Source organism: Homo sapiens, chromosome 4, assembly GCF_000001405.40.
Source record: "Homo sapiens chromosome 4, GRCh38.p14 Primary Assembly".
Classification (NCBI taxonomy): Eukaryota; Metazoa; Chordata; class Mammalia; order Primates; family Hominidae; genus Homo; species Homo sapiens.
In genome coordinates, this window is record NC_000004.12 from 93,482,139 (window position 1) to 93,503,296 (window position 21,158).

The 21,158-nt window shown below is 34.0% G+C and overlaps 1 protein-coding gene across 17 annotated transcripts in view; it reads left to right on the forward strand.

Moving 5' to 3' along the window:
* The window catches only part of GRID2 (glutamate ionotropic receptor delta type subunit 2), a 1,506,491-nt gene that overhangs the window by 1,178,173 nt on the left and 307,160 nt on the right, over window positions 1-21,158 (forward strand). For all 17 annotated transcript variants that reach the window (NM_001440459.1, XM_024454024.2, NM_001510.4 and 14 more), the window contains one exon: window positions 8,501-8,639. In NM_001440459.1, coding sequence (NP_001427388.1) covers window positions 8,501-8,639 — 139 coding nt within the window. The remainder of the gene's footprint in view (window positions 1-8,500; window positions 8,640-21,158) is intronic.

A 21,158-nucleotide genomic window follows, 5' to 3' on the forward strand; every position in this document is an offset into this window, starting at 1 on the left:
TTTCAGAACCTTATTATCTGAGGCTTTGTTCTTACCATGATATTACTGGGTATATACCCAAAGGATTATAAATCATTTTACTATAAAGACACATACACATATGGTTATCGCAGCACTATTCACAATAGCAAAGACTTGAAACCAACCCAAATGCCCATCAATGATAGACTGGATAAAGAAAATGTGGCACATTTATACCATGAAATACTATGCAGCCTTAGAAAAGAATGAGTTCATGTCCTTTGCAAGGACATGGATGAAACTGGAAAACATCATTCTCAGAAAACTAACACAGGAACAGAAAACCAAACACCACATGTTCTCACTCATAAGTGGGAGTTGAAGAATGAGAACACATGGACACGGAGGGAAACATCACACAGCGGGGCGTGTCGAGGGTTGTGGGGCAAGGGAAGGGAGAGCATTAGGACATATACCTAATGGATGAGGGGCTTAAAACCTAAATGACGGGTTGATGTTTACAGCAAACCACCATAGCACATGTATACCTATGTAACAAACCTGCACATTCTGCACGTGTATCCCAGAACTTAAAGTATAATAAATAAATAAATAAATAAATTCTAAAAGGTAATTGTAAATGGAACAACTTACTCACTGTAACATGATGTGATTTTTGTGCTCTCTCTCCCTACCACAAAAAGCCATCTCTTATACCCATGATAGACATGTCATGTTGTAGAAAATCTACCCTAGCTTGCAAATGGGTTCAATATAGTGAACCCATTATCCTGTGGACAACAGGAAACCGCACTTGTATCTCTTGTTCACTTCCTTATTACCCCCACATCTTCTGTCAAAAAAATAAAACACTTACAGATCTGGTCACAGTATCTCTCAATTTGACTATCAATAAACTTTAAGCAATACTTATATAAAGGTGACTGGCATAAATGAAGCATTTCAGAGATGATATATACATTATCTCCTCCTATCTTTAAATGTAGAATATGCTTATGCTGGCAATGACTTCCACACAAATTCCAACAATATCATCTTTCTTTGTTTTTCTACATTGTGATTCTGTAAGTGTAAAACACGCTAATATTTATTTACATTTTAATTGATCAGCTTACATGAACTATTCAGTCAGCTTGAATAATGAAAATTTTCTATTTACTATGAGTTTTTAGCCATTTTGTTAGTAACCTGTTTCCAATAAAGATCCAACTCTTGAAAAAGGAATGTTTATTTTTTTAAAAAAGGTATTAGTTTTCTCCCATTTTTTTCTAATTATAATTTATAAAATAATCCCACCATTCCAGATTACAAATTAAAAATGTTGTGAGTGTTTAAACCTATAAGAAGTGGATTTACCAAACAACCAAATTGGAGACTCTTCAACAATTAATTGCTTTTTCATATTTCATGGAAACACAAAGATGCATATATACTCACACAGAATAAGACTTAGAATAACAAATTTTTGCCTGACTCAGATGGATTTATCAAATTTCCCAAACTTGCCTGAAGAAATTGCTTATTTTTAACAACTTTTTTAAGTAAGCTAATGTATACAGTAGCAAGGTTAATGTAGTTTTTCATGTGGTAAAACAATCACATCAAAATGAAAATCTGGTCAAGAGGATTTTCCTTAAAACAGAGGGGTCCTTTGGAAAATAAAAATTTTTCATGCTTTAGCAGAGCACTTTAAACTTATCAAGGGCTATAGGAATCCAAATACCCAACTTCAGAGTCAGACCTTTGCACACTCTGAAGTGTCATGAAGTATCAGCCTAATTTTTGCAATACTTTTTTAGCAAGGTGAGATTATGTTTTTTTTTTAATTTGGCACATAATTATTTTGTCCTTTACCTAATTCTCTCTTCTGGCATCCTGACTCTATGAAAATGCATATTTTTTTTCTAATTGTGGATAAAAAAAGGAGAAAGAAAACAAATATCATTATTAAATTCACTATTCTCTCTCCTTATTTTCTTCTTTTATTTAGTTTTTAATTGTGAAGTATTATTTGCCTACAGAAAAGTACGTAACATATTGTGCAGCTCAATGAATTACCAGCAATGGTCCACCTGTATAATTGCCACCTAGGAAAAGATAGAACATTACCAGTGACCCAGCCCCCATTTCCTTTTCCTCAATCATTTTTCACTCTTCCCAAAGGTAACCATCCATGGGATCATCAACACTGCCATTCATGTTGCTTGCTTGTGAACAATTATTATACAGTGTGAATTATTTTACCCAACATTAGGTTCATAAAACCCATTAATGGTGTTGTTTATAAGTGAGATTTGCTTGTTTTCATTGTTGTGCAATATTTTATTGTTTGTGTTCAAAAAAAAACTTTAGATGAATGAAATTTAACAGAGTTGAATTGAGCAAAGAGCCATTCAGGAATTGAGGAGCCCCTCAAACCAGATAGGTTCAGAGCAACTGGGGGGCTGCCACAAGATTAGATAATATTTATGGACAGAAAGAAGAAAGTGACATACAGAAAATGGAAGTGAAGTACAGAAACAGCTGGATTGATTACAGCTCCACATTTGCCTTATTTGAACACAGTTTGAACAGTTGGTCACCTATAGTTGGCTGAAACTCTGTGATTGGTACAAGAGTAGGTTACAGTCTGTTTGTACATCCAGTTAGGTCACAGTTCACTACGCATGAAGAAACCTTGAGGCCAAACTTAAAATATGTAAGGAGGTATCCAGTCTACTCTCAAAGTATGTTTGGGCTGTTTCCAGTTTAGACTATTATGACAATGCTTCTACAAACATTTCTGTCTCTTGGTATGTACATTCATCTAGTGGGTATGTACCTAATGGGGGAAATTTCTGTATTCTAAGATATGCATACGTTAGTTTTCAGAGATCATTTATCAGAATGATTGACTGAACCAATTTGCAATCCCAACAACAGGGTACAAGCATTCTGATAGTCCCATGTCCTTGCCAACACTTGCTATTGTAAATCTTTTTATTTTAATCATTCTGGTGGCTGTGGAGTGGTATTTTTTTATTTTGTATTTCCCCAGTAGTTAATAAGATTGCTACCTTTTCATATATTTATTGGCCATTGGTTATCTTCTTTTATGAAACCACCTATCCATTTTTCTGATTGTTGTCTCATTTATTCTTATAGATTTATAGGAGTTAATATTTATTGATGATTTTTTGTTAGGTATATGTATTATAAATATCTTCTACTGTGGCTTGTCTTTTCACTCTCTTTATGGTATCTTTTTAACTATGAAGTATTATTGCAGTCAAATTATCAATCTTTTCTTTTGTGTTAATGCATTTTATGCTGTGTTTAATAAATCCTTTTCTACCCAAACTTGTGGATATATTCTCCTATATAGTTTTCTAGAAGCTTTATTGTTTACCTTTTATATTTATATCTATAGGCTGCATGGTATTAATTTCTGTGTATAGTATGAGTTAAGAGACAAGTTTCATTATTTTTCATACATATATCTAATTAACCTAGAACTACTTAATGAAAAGACCTCCCTTTCTCTATAGTACATACTTTAGTGCCAGCTGGGTATAAATCAAGTGCCTATGTATGCATGGACAACTTTCATTTATTTATTTGGTTTATCCTTGTACAACTAACCAACTGTCTTAATTACTATATTAATCTATAGTCATCAAGAGCCAGTTTTTTTCTTCTTCCTGAAGAGTATCTTGGCAATTTTTGTACTTTTGCAACTTCATATAAACTTTACATTCAGCTTCAAGCACATTTACTTGTGCACACACACATACACACAACCTGGGATTTTTAATTGGGAATTCACTGACTGAATCTATAGATCAATTTGAGGAGAACTTATATCTTTACAGTATTAAGTCTCTCAATCAATGAACATGCTATATCTTCATTTATTGAATCTTCCTTTATTTTACTCAAAAATAGTTTTATAGTTTTTCATGTAGAGGTCTCTCATATCTTTAAATGAGTTTGTTCCTAGTTATTTGATCATTTAATGCTATTGCAAATGATATGTTTTTTAATTCTATGTTGTCAGTGTTGCTGTTATATATAAATAAAATCTTTTTTTGAACACTGATTCTGTAACATAGCAAGCTGATAACTAATTTATTAATTTTAGTAATTTATCCTTTGTTCTCTTAGATTTTCTACATACATATTCATATCATCACTAATCCGTAACTTTTGTTTCATTCTTTCCAATTCCTAAATACTTTTTTCTGATTTTTTTTCTTGGACTACAGAGTCTAGCACAACTCCAATTCAATGCTGAATAGAAATGTTAGCAATTTGTGTCCTTTAAGACAGTCAAAAATTTTTATTTTATTAGTATGTATGATACTTGATATAGATTTTCTTAAAGTACTCTTTATAAAAATAATGAACACTTTTTAAAGTTTCCAATTTGCTGGTTATTTCTAGGTTTGTTTTGGTTTTGTTTTTCTAAGACTGGATGTTGAACTTTATCTGTACCTTTTCTTCATCTGCCAAGATCATATAATTTTTCTCTTTTGGTCCTAAAGTAGCGAATTACAATGATTGATTTTTGAATGCCAAACCAATCTTGCTGTCCTATAATAAACCCTATCTGTTTATTTATGCAGTTCTCCGTTTGCTAATTTATTTACCTTTTGAATCTACAATCATGTGAAAGATTGGCCTATAATTGCCTTTTATTGGAATAACTTTGTCAGGTTTTGTTATCAAAGTTGTGCTTTCTTTATAAAATGGATTGAATAGTGTCTTGCTTTTTTCTAACTTCATGAAGAATTTGTGTACAATTAAAATTAATTACTCCCTCATATATTTGGTAGATTTTGTTAGTAAGACCACTGGCCTTACATTTTGTGGTGCGTAGGTTTTAATTCCGGATTTGAAATCTTTGATAGTTACAAAACCATTCAAATTTTCTATTTCTTTGGGGAGGAACTTTTTTAGGAACTTGTCCATATCATCTTAATTTTCAAATTTATTGGCATAAATTTGTACATAAGTTATCCTTCTATTATCTGTAACATCTGTAACAATGTACTTTTAAAATTCCTGTTACATTTTTGTGTCTTCACTTATTTTCCTTGTAAGTTTCAACAGCTTATTTTGGTCTTTTTAAAGAACCAAACTTCTGTCAGATCAACCTTTTAATTGCATTTCTTATCTATTTTGTTAATTTTTGCTCTTAATTATTTTCTTCCTTGTACTTGTTCACATTTAACTTGCTGATTTTTTTCAACTTCTTTAAATTGATGAGTAACTCAGAATACTTTTCTTATACATTGCAGGCTATCAGTTTCCTTCAATACAATTTAGCTGCATCCCATCTACTTTCAAAACTTGTGAAATTTTGATATGGAGTATTTTTATTATCATCCTATTCAAAGTACTTTTCATTTCTCTGGTGATTTTCTTTGACCCATGACTTCATTTATGCTCATTTGGGGATTTTCTTGTTGTCTCAGTCCCACCCTCATTTGGCAAGCCCTGGACCCCAGTTTTATTACCACCTAACCATTGAATACTTTTAAAGTGTTCCTCAGTTTGTTAGTTTCTTAGCTTTCTTTTTTTAAATTGGTATATGCCCCTCAGGGAAAACCATTTCCAAATATGAAGCTATCTTTCTGGGTTATTTTCTTCTCCAGGACTCTGGGCCTATAAATTTTTACTGCCTCTTTAGCTCTGAAAACACATTATGTATTCAATTTTTCTAGTTGTTGTCAGTGGGAGGATTGTTCTGAATGGCTTCATCCACCAACCATTACCAACCATTACCAAAATTGGAAGTCAAGATTCCCATTACTTTTAATATTTGATTCCTAAATGTAATTATCAAATAACATTTTATTTGCATTCTACAAGAATATTTGAGTTCCTTGAGTTGCAATTTTTATAACAAAGATTAAAAAACTCAAGTATGCTTTTATGTGGGTGATAACAACTCTAATCAAGGCTAAAACTTTAATAGAAATGAATGCCCAATTAGCATTTTCATTCATAAATTTATTGTTCTAATTTTGTTATACATATTAACATCTTTTAGTCTTTGGCTATCATCTTGTTCACATTTTATTATTATTTTTTCAATTAGCTATTTTGACCAGAAAATCCTCATATGGATGTAAAAATAAATATTTTATTTTGCTTTTACCTTTCAAAAGCTGGGCAAATAATTATTTTGCTTTTAAGAAGAAGGTATCTAAAATGCATTGTAACTTATTTTGAAAAATGGGTTCCAGATATCAGAGGTTAGCCTGTTCTGAATATAATACATCAGGGGAATAGCTTAGAATATAACCAAAGGGTGTACTTACCCCACGTATAAAATTTAGACATATTACGTAGTGGGAACTCGTGGTTGTAATTAAAATATGCCTGATATTATAGTAAATCGAATCCTGTTAAGTCATTCACGTATTGATAGAACTACATGAAAGTAGTATTGTATCTCTTTATTTCCACCGTGAGTATAAAACTAACTTCTTTTAGAAGGCCTATTAATAGTTCACATATAGCATGTATTAGTCTAATAATATTGCCATAAAAAATAACACAGACTCGGTGGCTTAACAATGGAAATTTATTTCCTCAAAGGTCTAGAGGCTGGAAGTCCAAGATCAAGGTGTCAGCCAGTTTGGTGCCTCCTGAGGCCTCTCCCCTTGGCTTGCAGATGGTCACCTTCTTGCTGTGTCCTCACATGGCCTTTCTTCCATGCATGTGCATCCCTGGTGTCTCTTCCTTTTCTGATAAGGACACCAGTCATATCGGATTAGAATCCATGCTTACAATCTCACTATACCTTGATTACTTAGTTAAAGGTCCTATCTCCAAATAACAATCACATTGTGGGTTAGAATTTCAGGACATGAATTTGAGAGAGAAATAATTTAGTCCATAACACAGCACATATTCATTCAAAAAAACATTACCCACTTAATATGGGACAAGGACTGTTCCTATATCAAAAATTATAAAGGACGGAAATAAACAAAAATGTTTAAAGCCTAATACATTGTTATTTTTAAAAAGATAAAGGAATTGGCAGTATAGGGTTGTGGGGAGTTATTTTAGATAGAGTGGTGATAAAAGATTGTTATAAAAAGATATCCTCTGAGCAGAAACCTGAAAAAATTGAAGGAAGACGGAATTTATGAATTATAGAGGAGAAAATTTTAGGCATAACCATTTGCAAATGCAAGGGCCCTGGGACATATATCGGCATGGCTCTATAGAGGAAATTTCAAGAAAGCCATTGAGAGAATGGTAAGAAATAAAGTCAGACAATTGACCTAAGATCAGTATACATAGAGTCTTGTAAACCTTGGTAGAGATTTTTATTTTATTTTTTAAAGAGTCCTGGGAAGCCACTGGAAGCTTTGATAGGGGAATCCCATTGATCTGATTTTCGTTTATAAAGGCACCATGGTAATAGACTTAGGAGAGGTACTCTCTAGAATGTAAGTAAATGGGGAAACCACATAAGTAGTTCAGTAGTAGAGTCAAAGATGTCATCTTTGAATTGGGTGTCAGCAGTAGACAGGATGAGATGAGGTAGGATTTGGGATGTAATTTGAATGTAATGGTGACAGGACTTGCTATTGAAGAAGATGTTTGAAAATTCCTATTTTTGGTCTAAGAAATAAAGTAAATAGTGGTGCTATTCCCTGACATGGTGTGGACTGGCTTGAAGGAGAGTTAATTTGGGAGTAAAATAAAATGAGTTCTGTTTTAGATGTCATAAGTTAGAGATGCATATTGAATTGCAAGTGAGAATCATGTAGGCTTTTATCTATAGCTCTCTAGAAAGAGTCAAGGTAGGGGGCTAGAAATGTAAATTCTAGTGTTATCAAAGTATACTGTAGATCATAGTCAAAGTCAGGGGACTCGTTGATATTGTCCATGGTGAGACTATGGACAGAGAAGAGAAGCAGTCTAAGGACTGAGCCCAAGAACACTCCAACATTTAAAAGATGGAGAAGAGGATTCTGCAACAAGATTGTAAGAGTAGGAAGTCAATTAAAAGTAGAACAAAGCAAGTATGTGATGCTGAAGCCAACACTAATATGTGTGATCCCATGATCATTAACAAGCTATGTTTCTAGAGAATATAACAAAAAATAATCCTTTCAATATTATTTATTTAACTGGAAATCTGAAAATTTGTATTAAATATAGGCATAGCAATATTAATGTCACCTAACTAATGAATAATCAAGCCCTTGGAAAGAAAGCATATACCTGTGATTATAATAAAAGGTAATTAATTATAGGGTTGAACAGGAAGGGGGAAGAACTATCATTTAAACATGTTATACTAAATATTTATCATGCTTCTTTTGGCTGGGTCTTTCATAATCTCATAAAAGAGAATTAAATATGGAGTGATGAAAATATAGAGATCTATGTTGATGTTAAGCAGAAAAAATTCTCACTACTTGCAAGTTAATTTGGTGTTGAATATAGATGACTTCAGATCCTCAATAAATACTAGTTGATGTTCTTTTTATCTCTTTGCTTCTTTCTACAGGCGGGGAAGTCCCGTACACGACTCTGGCTACCCGAATGATGATGGGGGCTTGGTGGCTATTTGCTTTGATTGTTATCTCATCTTACACGGCAAACCTCGCTGCTTTCCTCACTATTACACGCATTGAAAGTTCCATCCAGTAAGTAAACAATGTTTCCATTAGCCACAAAATATGAGAAATGATAAGAGTGGCCAAAGCTATCTGAGAATAAGTATGTGGTGTCTCATAATAAATGTACAACTTCTCTTTGAGTAAAGGATCAATTTTGTGTTACTGCAAAGTATCACTGATTAGTCCAAGTCCTGGAAATGCAGTATTGGTAGAGCATTTTTTATAAAGTAAAAATTTGGCTATGATTTCAATGTTGCTTCCCACATTTTCCTGGAAGGATAACACATCTTCAGAATTTTAGTGTCCACAAAGAATGACTATATCTGACTAACACTGTGAAAAGGAAGAAAAAAAAGAGTCATACTTAAAAGGAAATCTTTGCCTTGAGTCTGTCCCATTATGTACTGTCAGAATAAATAGTTGAATAGATACAGATGTTTGAGAGATAGACGGATGATTGGGGATTGGGGAGAAAAGAAAAGGGAGGGGAATAGCAATCAACAGAAAATTATAGTATTTCAGTAACCACATTCTGTTTTTCTCTTCATTACCTTATACTTCATGTGGTCCTTATTGCTGCTATTTACTGGTTGCAGTTGGAATGCTGGGAAATAGTGATTAACTATGGTGCACTTATTTAATCCTAAAAGTTACCTAAGCCAGTGTCTCAATTCACAAATGCCATTTCCGTAAGCCCGTGGAGCCCAAGGGCCTTTTATCCACCACAGCCAGTTTTGCTTTTGTGGTTTCATGCTATAAGATCAACACCACAGTATAATTTCTGCCTTATTAGAACATAATGTTCTATATATTGTTTTAAGAAAAATTTTCCTGAAAATGTTTTATTCATCCCCAAACAAGGTAAGTTTGAATTTTCCTAAAGTTGGACATTCATTTCCCAAAAAGCTGACAATTCAAATTCAGAATAATTAGATATGTCAGGGAATTCCTTAGGAATGTAACTTGTTTGGAAAAGAAAATCTGGGTAGTTATTTTCTTTTAAAAAGAATGTAAATTAAATTCATTAGTAGCCACAAAACTATTATAGCATAATACCAAAAAAGTTAAGAATTAATTATCTATAAATAAATAGGGTATTATTTTCTATTTGCTCATTATACAAATTGAAACTCCCATATTCAACTAGTAATGCTAATAAGTAGTCAATTATTTTATCCATTCATAAAATTGATGTTTCTAGTTTCTCTCATGAAATCATGCTGCTCAAGTTGTTTTCCAATTATTCCTTTGATACAGAACCTTCATATTCCCCCAATTTATTGTCCATGTAAATAGATCTATGTGTGACATAAATTACAAATCATACAGAGTGAAACTTATACCATTGATGGAAAGCTTATACTGGTGACCCCATAAGCATCATACTTTAAGCAATATGAAAATGATTACAACAGCCCAGCCAAAAGATCAATGAAATGAGTAAAATTATGAAAATAATAATAAACATTTATTGATCACTTACAAAAAGCCAGATTTTGTGATGCATTAGCTTATTTAAAACTTACTATCATCTTCAAAAATACATACTATGAATAACTCATTTTATAAATGACAAAACTAAAGTTGAGAGGATAAGTAACTCACCCAAAGCCTGCAGCTAGTAAGTGACTGAGTAAAGACCAAATCTTAAATCTGGTTCCTGAGCCTACATTCTAACTGCATCATGTTAGTTCCCACACCACACTTGAACTTGAATTTCTGTATGAATCTTAGGTTTTAGAGAACACAAGAAGAAACTCGTCATAGCATTTTCCATTGCTAAGGGATGTAAAGGATGAAATTCTCCAAATCCTCAACTGGTCTGAGGAAATAGAGTATCAAAAGTTAGGTGACTTTTGTGTTATAGGCATGTAGGCATATATCCCAACATGAGTTAATTATGTCTATAATTGGTATCTACCATTCAGGGTAAGACTTTGGCAAATCCAATCAATAGAAGTCATTTTAAGAAAAATAGCTTAATTGTCAAATAAAAATTGTACATATTTAAGTTATACAATGTGATGATTCAATATACATATACATTGTGAAATAATTGACACAATCAAATGCACCACCCATGCTGTGCATTAGATTCCCACAACTGGTTCATCTTCTGAAAGTTCGTACCCTTTGACCGACATCTCCACATTTTCCCTATACTCTAGCCCCTGGCAACCACCATTCTACTCCTGCTTCTACGAGTTTGACTTTTCTAGATTCTACATATAAGTGATATCATATAATATTTGTCTTTCTGTGTTTGGCTTATTTCACCTAGTGTAATATCCTCCAAGTTCATCCATGTTGTTGCAAATGGCAAATAGCAAAACAGTTTTTAATCAATAAAATTGAGTATTTTATTTCATTAACATATTTCTTATCAATTATGTTGAATGTGTCACATTTTGGGTATCCTTAAAGCTCAAAATTTATGTAGTTCACATCTGACTTTGAAGTGTTTTTAAATAAATAAATCGTAAAAAGTTTAAATAAAATAACTGATCCTATGCAGTAAACAACAACTGTCATTATAGTAAACAAAAAATCATGGTTAACATTGACTGAGAATTTATAATGAACCAGAAGTTAAGCATATTACAAATATCATCTCATTTATTCCACAAAATAACCTTAATAATACAAGTACTCTTCTTATTGCCATTTTATGGATGAAGAAACAGAGTTTGGAAGATAATGCTTAAGATTACACACTCAATAAGTGTCAGAGTTGAGAGTCCAATCCATGTCAATCAGACACCAATCCGTGGCCTTACCTGTCAAATTCTTTTTTTTTTCTTTTTTTTAATCTAGTGGTGGGTCCTAGAATTTGTTTGCTTGATATGGTATTTCTCTGAGGTTGCAGACTTTGTGGTGTCTGTAAATCTGAGTTATTTAGTTATTACTAACTTTGCCAGCACCAGTTTTTATCTAGACTTTCATGCAATAGCAGTGGGAGGAGAAGCCTGTCTCAAATTTTTCATCCATAGGTTTATCTAAAAGTAAAACCTGATGGAAAAAGATTGTAATTTCACATCATGTTTCCCTCAAGTGTAGTTCTACTGCCCAAAGTAACTTTGCATTCATTTTTTTAAAAAATCATTCCTTTCCAATGCCAACTGGCATTATTAAAAGTCATCAGTGGGTATAATAAATCTCTACTTCCTTGTAATATTATCACTGGACTAATTTTGGAATGAGAGAATCAGAGCCAAATAAGTTAAAAGAAGCCAGATTCCCTCCCGAAATTTAAAGATATCTTCTAATTTCATGCCTCAACAGTGTTGGTAAACATAATTGCCTGCAGTGTTTCTTAGAAACATTCAAAATCTCATTTGTAACTAATGCCAAAGTTTCTTGGGAAAATTCTAATTTTTCTTAGAAAAGACAAACTTTTTTTCAAAGTAGCATTCAATGTCATGCTTCTTAATCATTTATATTAATAAGATTTGCTCATCACCAAATGAAGCTGCAGTGCATGTCAATGTACTATTTCCAGCCCAATTTTGCTGTGCCATTGGCAAACACATGCCAACCATAGCTTCATTTCCAAAATTCAGCGTTGCTTCTGCAGACTACAATGGGCAGAGGTGGTTAGAGGAATGTCAGTGAAGGGGAGAGAGAGAGAGAGGGAGAGAAATCAGCTTCTTTGAATTGATGGTTGACAGAAACTCTTCCACTTTGCTGGGAGCAATCTAATAGATTTATTTTGGGGAAGCTGAATAATTTCATAAAATTTTACCTTGTTTTTAAAATTAGATATCTATGGGCATCTAATCTAACTGGCACTTGTTATTAATAAAAGTTTTGAAAGGGAATTTTCCCTGGAAAAGATAACCCATAAATTTAATTTCATATCCCTTCAGTGATATGGGCAGCACATCATAACTATGTCCTATGTTTAATATAATATAATGAGACAGAGTATGACACAGTTCAGTTCTTAAAGGGAAAAAAAATGCCATTTCCACAAGACTCTAATGACAATTTGGGCTTTTTCATTCCCATTGAGAGGTAACAACATATAGTTAATTGTTTTCAAACACCTAGAAATTGGAATGATTTTTTTTCTCTTGATAACTAGACTAATAGTGGCAATGGTGAAATGGAGCATGTGAAGCTTTGAAGGTACTTCAGAGTAAGCACTGGATAATAGCATCATCAACATTAGTTCTGTTTGCCTTTATTGTGATATTACTTCCAAAAGCTACCTAGTTCACATAAAAGTGAAAATAGCTATGGGAAAATCAGGGTTACACAGTTATAGTTATTAATAACTTTAGAATCAAACTGGTCTTTGGTGATGAAACTTGAGTTTTTTCATTCCCAGGAGCTGCAAGTAAACTTGGACCTACTCAAAGGGATCCCAACATCCCACCATATTTTTGTGTTCAGTGCTTTCATTCTCCATAATGCTTAAGGTTGGACTAAACAAAATATTGAGTTAATTCTGCCACTGAATCTAACTAATATGGGATAGCATTGCTTTCCAAACTGATACAGAAAGAGATCCATAAATATTCTATTACTAAAGAAGAACCCCTTTTCCCTAGCATATCAATAACAGGATTTTTGCCATCACCTTGGTCTACATTTTGAAAAGAAAATAATTATTGAGCAATTTTTTTCTAAGTGTTCACAGGTGAGTATGATCTAATTATGCTTAGAAATTCAAGCATCACCAAATCTGGTACTAAAGCCTGGAGACAGAGGGAAGGATAGCAAGTGACAGATGCTCTGTAAAGAAAAGGAAAGTGGGACTAAATCATCGAGGGCATGGTAAGACTTGTTAAGGAATTTGGAATTTTTCCTGGAGGTAATGGAGAGTGACGTTGTAGAAAGACAACTTTATCTCTGGAGAGGAGGACATGTGGGAGAGAGAAAATGTAGGCATGCATGGGAGGCCGTTAAAGGTGTCTAATGCATGTATATTTACAGCAATTAACTAGTATGTCTCTACTTGATACGAATATGTCTCTACTTTTTTCAAGGGCTACTTAATTTGATAATACTAGAGGATTAAGGGTAACTTAGAAATTTGGCTTCAGAAACTTCATATTTCTAGGCTAATATTTACTTATGTAGTGGATGTAAGAATATTGCCTCAGTTAATTTTGTTTAAGATATTTAAAGAGAGGATGTGGCTTACTATGTTTTAGCTAACTAAGTAAAAAGGAAGACAGTGATTAATGAGGAAATTCTGGAAATGACTCTGTTTAGGCTGCGTTTCACATGCAATTTTGCAGAAAAGTTGCATCTCAAGGTCTACTATTCGTGGGCCCCATCTGCCTCTCACTTTTAGCTTTGAGCCATCAACAAAGAAGTTAGACTTATTTTTATTCCATTTGAATGCATTTTTTTCCTGATTGTAAAAAAAAAAAAAAACAGGCTGTTTTGAGAAAATAGGAAAGTACAAAAAGATGTCGAAGGACAAAGCATTAATAATCCATAAACTGTCATGGGGCAGTAAGTTCTGTTAATATTTGGACAAACTTTCTTATAACTTTTAATTTTGCAATTATTATATATACACAGGAAGTTTCAAAGATATAGTACAGAGCAGTGTCATGTATTCTTCTCTCAGTTCCCTGAATTTTTGCATATTAAGTGATTATACTACAAAATTAAAACCAGGAAATTGACATTGGTACAATGTGTGCAAATTGCTCTATGACATATTATTACATATGTAGACTCCTATAATCACCACTGCAATCAAGATACAGAACTATTCCATCACGGCAAAGATCTCTCTCATTCTACCCCTTTATAGTCACATTCACCCTTCCTTACCAACCCCAACCTCTGGTAACTTACTGTGTTCCCCATTTCTGTAAGTTTTGCGTTTCAAGAGTGTAATATAGGATTGAATCAGAGTATGTGGCCTTTCGAAAATGGCTTTCTTATTGATTCAGCATAATATCCTTGAGATCTATCCAAGTTGTTGTATGTAATAGTTCATTGCTTTTTATTGCTAAGTAATAATCCATGGTATGGATGTACCACAGTTGGTTTAGCAATTTACTTACTGAATGACATTTTTATTGTTTCAAGTTTTGGGCTATTACATATAAAGCTTCTAAGAACACTTACATGGCAGTTTTCTGTGGATTTTTTGTTTGTTTGTTTCTCTGGCATAAATGCCCAGGAATACAATTGCTCGGTCATGTGTTAAGTATATATTTGTTTTTTAAGAAACTGCCCTACTAATTTCCAGAGTGGCTGTACCATTTTGTGTTTCCACCTGCATTGTATGAGAGATCAAGGGTGTCTGCATCTGTGTCAGCATTTGGTGGTATCATTTTTTTTTTTTTAGCCTTGCTGATAGGTATGTGGTGATGTCTCATTGTGGTTTTAATTTCTATTTTATTATTGTGTAGTGGTATTGAACATCTGTTCATGGGCTCATTTGTAATCCTTATCCTCTTCCATGAAAGGTGTTTTCATGCTTTTTGCCTATTTTCTAATTGGGTTGTTTACTATTAAGAGTTCTTCACATAGTCCAGACACAAAGGCTTTGTCATATAGGTGGTTTGCAAATATTTTCTCCTAGTCTGTAGCTTGTATTTTCATCCTCTTTATAGGGTTCATCATAGAACAAAAGTTTTAGAAGTTGATGAAGTGCAATGTATCAATTTTTTCATTTTATGGATTGTGCTTTTGGTTTCATGTCTAGCACTCTTCAATAAGTCCAAGGTCATGAAGATTTTCTCCTATTTCTTCTAAAAGTTTTATAGTTTTACATTACACATTTACATATTTGATGCATTTTGAGTTAATTTTGTATAAAGTGCAACGTTTAGGTTCAATTTTTCACTATGGATATTCAAATGCTCAAGCAGCATTGCTGAAAAGACTATCCTTTCTTCATTGAATTGTTTTGCACCTTTGTACAAAAAAAAAAATCTGTTGGCCATACTATGTGAGTCTGTTTCTGTGTTCCTACCCTGTTTCATTAATCTGTGTTGTCTATCCCTCTGCCGGTAACACAGTTTTGATTACTGTAGTTTGAGTAGAGTGATTCTTCCCACCTATTTTTTCAGAATCATTTTAGCTATTTTAGTTCCTTTGTCTTTTTATTATAAATTATAGAATAATCTTGTCTATATCTACAAAAATATTGCTGAAATATTGACAGTAATTGCATTAAATAAATTGGAGTGAGAATTCACATTTTTAATATGATGAGTCTTCTGATCTGTAAACATATGTCTCCCCACTTATTTAGATCTTTGATTTATTTTATCAGCACTTTATAATTTTCATTATACAAGTCCTGTACATGTTTTGTTAGATTTGTGCCTAAGTATTTCTTTTTCTCAGTGATTACAAACGTTCTTGGTATCTCGATCCATTTGTGCTGCTATAACAAAATACCTAGGTCTGAGTAATTTATAAAGAATAGAAATTTATTTCCTCACAGTTCTGGATGCTGGGAAGTCCAATATCAAGGTGCCAGCAGGTTGAGAGTCTGGTGAGGGCCAGGTTTCTGCTTCCAAGATGGTACTTTGACTGCTGTTCTATGTCCTCACATGACAGAAAAGATGGAAGGTCAAAAGGGGCCAAACTCATTCCATCAAGCTTTTTTATAAGGAACTAATCCCAGCCATGAGAGCAGAGCCTTTATGGCCTGATTGTCTCCTAAAGGTCCCCCTCTTAATATTGTTGAACTAGGGATTAAATTTCAATATGAACTCTGGAAGGAACCCAAGTATTAAAATCATAGTAATTGAATTTTTAATTTTAATTTTCACATATTCATTACTAGGATATAGAAATACAATTGTTTTTTGTCTGCTGATTTTATCTTGTAATCTTGCTAAGCTCATATCTTACTTCTAGGGGTTTTTGGTAGATCCTTTCGGATTTCCTAGGTATAATTTGTAAACTTACTAAGCTCCTTTATTAGTTTTAGGAGTTTTTGGTAGATTCTTTGGATTTTTCTAGGTATAGCTTATGCCATTTACAAAGTCAGGTGGTTGTATCATTTTTCTTTCTCATCCAGATACCTTTTATTTTCTATTTTGCCTTTTCTTTGCTGGATAGAATTTACAATACTATGTCAAATTAAGAGTAGTGAGAGTGAATATCTCTGCTTTGTTCCTGATCTTGCTGGAAAAGCAGTCTTTGACCGTTAGGTATGACATTATCTGTAAAGTTTTTTATTGTAGATATTATTTCTCAAATTGAGGAAGTTATCTTCTATTCCTAGTTTTCCATGTGTTTTTCGTCATGAATAGGTGTTGGATTTTGACAAATGATTTCATTTTTTATTGATTGGTATGCTCGGGTAATTTTTCTTTATTAGCCTGTTTAGTGGATTACATCATTCATTTCAACAACTATTTTTAAAACAAGGTAGAGGCTAACTATATTCCCCGCTTCTATTTCTTCTCCATCTTTTTCTCCAAGTCTTGATTTTCTACTTGATTTTCTTCCCATTATTGATTCGAGTCAATAAAATATCATGACTGTCCCTGCCTGCTGCTTCACATCTTAGTTTCTTTTCCCTTACCTTAACTATTGTTCCTCTTTCTCCATTCTCTTCCCAATAGAGTTTATCCACTGGAGTGTGGAGTCCAGACTGTTACCTTCTCCCATCCTCAAAATTGGCTTGAAAAACTTTATTATTACTTCATCCAATAAAGATGAATACAACTCCATTAGCAAAGCATATTGAGCCCTTCTTTCCCACCCACATTTCTGTCCAGGGGCACCAACAAATTCCTTCTCACTTTTTCATGCTACAGTCAAGCTAGACTCTTATGGGACCTTGCATGCCTCTCTGGAGCTTTACATGCTCTTCTCTCTCCCTGAAATCACTCAAAACCCCCTTCTCTTCCGGTATCTTCCATTTTCCCAGGCAGAATTAGCCATTACTACACATGTGCCTTCTCTTTGCGATTTTAAGTTCTTCAAAAGCAAAGACTATGTTATATCCATCTTGAGAGGCACTGCTAGAGTGCCTCTCAGAGTACCTAACAATAGTATGAATAAGAGCAGCTAATATTTCTTGAGTGCTTGCTATGTGACAGCTAGTTTTCTAAATACTTTGCATGGGTTTTCTCATTTAGTCTTCGTAATAGCCCCATGAGAGATATGTTATTATCATCTCTATTTTATAGATGATGAAACTGAAGCTAGGGTAGTAAACCCAGGCAATCTAGCACTATAACTTTTTACCAGGGGAACATATTGTATGCTAATTACAAATACGCTAAACCTTTATTGTATGAAATAAATAAATGAATAAATGGCATCCATAAGGGTTACTATAAATTTCTTAGGAAATAAAGAGAGCTTTGCAGAAAAGAATAAATGGCAGCAGTATGTTTAGCTAAGTTACTTCCAGGTATTTCTAAGTTATGTGGTATGCAAGTCAGTAACGGGAGACTGGATTCAAACAAATCTGCATTCGAATTCTTTGCCACTTAATAGCTCAATGACCTTGTCAGGATTCCATAATTATTATAAACCATATTTTCCTAAGAGTAAAAAAGGGATAGATTCAACTTCATAGGTTTAGTGTAGTGTTTAGTGTAAAGATTAAGTGAAAAAGAGCATGAATAATATAACACAGTCCATGGACAGCACCTACCTAACATTTGCTTCCATTCTTCTACATTTTCTCTAGGCACTCATATAGATTCCTTGGCCTGTCTTTCTCTCTGCCCCCATTTTGATGGTATTTTTGTCATTTTGTCCACAATTCTATATATTAATTGTTCCTTTGAGCTGATTCACCTAAATCTCAATGTTTCTTGCTTATGGAGCTACTGTTTCTGACACAGATGTCACCATCCTACCTTACAGTCTATCTTGCTGAGGGTTGTCTTTTTGCCCTGCTGCTTAATCCTCTCATTTTCCCCAAAGATAAAAGCAAAATAAACAAACAAAAATCTGATGCATCTGCAAGCCTTATCTGAATTTAGGCATAAATAAGGTCTTGGAAGAATGATTCACTCTGTTATCTCACCTTAGCTAGTGACTAACTAGCACTGAGATCAGGTTGCTACTAATAGAGACTGGCAAGACCCCTGGGTCAGGATATATATTTGCCAGGTAAGTTTTCTCTCCTAACTCACCTTTATTTAGCCCTCTCATAATACACAGCTCAAATACTCAAATATGTCCTTGCCACATATTCATAACTATATTTAGTGTCTCCCTTTTTTGAACCACTTCACATCTACCTCACTTACACCCTGTATTGGAATACTATTCTACTTGTTTTACTTCCCTATTAAAATGCATATTCTTGAGGGTTGTTTTATCATCTTTGTACCAGTTCAGTGCCTTATGTAGTGTATTGTGTGAGTACTTAGTGGGTTACAAGTAAATATTCACTCACTGAGTGAACTAGAAAGACATTTTTTAGAATCTGACCTGAGAGTGTGAAACTCCATGACTTGTATGTGTACCCCATTTAAAAAATTAGATAGAAATATGAAAGCCATTTCTTTGTCCTATTATTCCAGGATAAGAGAGGAAACCCAAAATGGTATGCTCTCTAAGTATCCTTTGTGTCACCCACTCACTCTTCAGTCTTCCAGTAGGAGTCTTTTTTATAGCTCTCAGTAGGGAATTGCACACTTTATTAGGAGGAGCCAAAATGAAGGTGGATGAAGTGAGCGAGGGCTGGCTCATACTGCCTTTCTGTTTCATTTTAGTACAGAATTGTATAGGCTTAACTCCAGAACACACAAGCACTGCAGCAGAGGAAGACATTCATCTCCTTACTCTCTATTGTTAGTGTTGAAATGGCTTACTTGTCCTAGCACTTAAGTACTACAGTGATGGATGTTTCCCAAACGTACAGCTATCTCGATGTCATAGACAGAATTTTGTCTCTGTTTTGGAAAAAAATTAAAACTTCCTAGAAGTATATTGGTCTTTCAAAGCCACCTTTCAGTGAGCATTTAATTAAAAGTTGTCTCACAGTTTGTGGCTCCCAGGAACAGGGCTATGTTAGCATTTCCATAGACTCTGTTTACACTGAGCTCACCAGGACAAAAACTTTACCAATTTTATAATCTTCCACAGCTTCTAAAATAATCTTCTTCTGAACAAGATGAATCATTCTAGACAAATCAAATCCTTCTCTTTTTCTCTTTCTTCCCAATCTTGCTCCTTTAAGCCTAGAAACCTATTAAGTGCTGTGCTCAAGAATATAAATTCCTGTCTCTTCTCCATTTTCTGTTACTTCCTCCCCTTACTGAAGTCTGCTGGATAAATAAATTCTATCCACCACAAACTTATAGATATGGTTAAAAAAAGAACCTATGCTTGGAGTATACTGCTTAGTCATTGTGGAGGACATAGTTTGAGTACAGAGCATCCTTTTGTGAAATTAATGTGGGAAGAGTAGTGATGAAAATCAGCAAGACTGGAGTTGGCAGCCGGGGCTGTTTGGCAGAAGAATACTATTAAAGGAGACTGAAGACTTAGGTTCAAGTCTCTTTTCTCCTACTAAAGAATAAGGCAAATTCTAAAACTACTTTGCACTTCAGTTTTTCGTCTTTTAAAAAAGTGATCCAATTCTTCGCTCACTGCACAAATATTTGCTCCACAGTTTGAATGATGTTATTTTCCATGTCCCTTCAGGCATAAACTTTTATATCAACTATACCAATGAGATATCTTAATAAACAAGGTGTGAGATAAAACTGATACTCAACTGAAAACCTGAATAACAGATATCTTAAGTTGAAAGGCAAATCTGAAAAAAAAAATCCTTTTTTGTCATATCTTCTTATTTTCTTTTTCTAGTTCTCTATTTCCAGTCCTATTTTTCTTTCCCTAGCCTCTCCATCATGCCAGTGATGTTGGTATGCTGCCCTCCACACTCTACTGCTAAGTATCTGTTTGACCCCATCAATTCTCTGATGCTCTTAGTTCCTCCATAGTTCCTGTCACCTAAAGATATTTAATTTATTTTAATGGCTCTCTCCTCCACTCCCCCCCCCCACACACACACGCACACCACACACACACACACACACACACGTACTACAGCCTCCATTTCTCAAGCCCAGATGCTAAAGAGGGATGATGCTAAATAAGAGCCAGATACCCCAGCTAATAGCAAGTGGTGAGGAAGGCGAGGAATAAGGTCTAAAGCTGGCTGGTGGGCTGCTTTTATTCAGAGGACGATTGTCATTTTCTGAGAGGGATGCTACAGAGTTCTCAAGATTTGCTGTTGTCTTGGGAGTGTGGAGCACATTTGCAAAACAGTTCGGGCATTTATAATCTCAAAATAGCAGTTAATAAGACCTGGCTCTCAGGCATCAAGATATGCATTTAATATCAACTTCTGCTGAAATTTCTCAAAAAGGAAATACCACCTACTTGAGAATAGAGGATAATTTCTCTGAATCATTCTGAATCAGTCATTGTGGAGGACGTAGTTTGAGTATGGAGCATCCTTCTGTGAAATTAATGTGGGAAGAGTAGTGATGAAAATCAGCAAGACTGGAGTTGGCAGGCAGAGCTGTTTGGCAGAAGAATATTATTAAAGGAGACTGAAGACTTAGGTTCAAGTCTCTT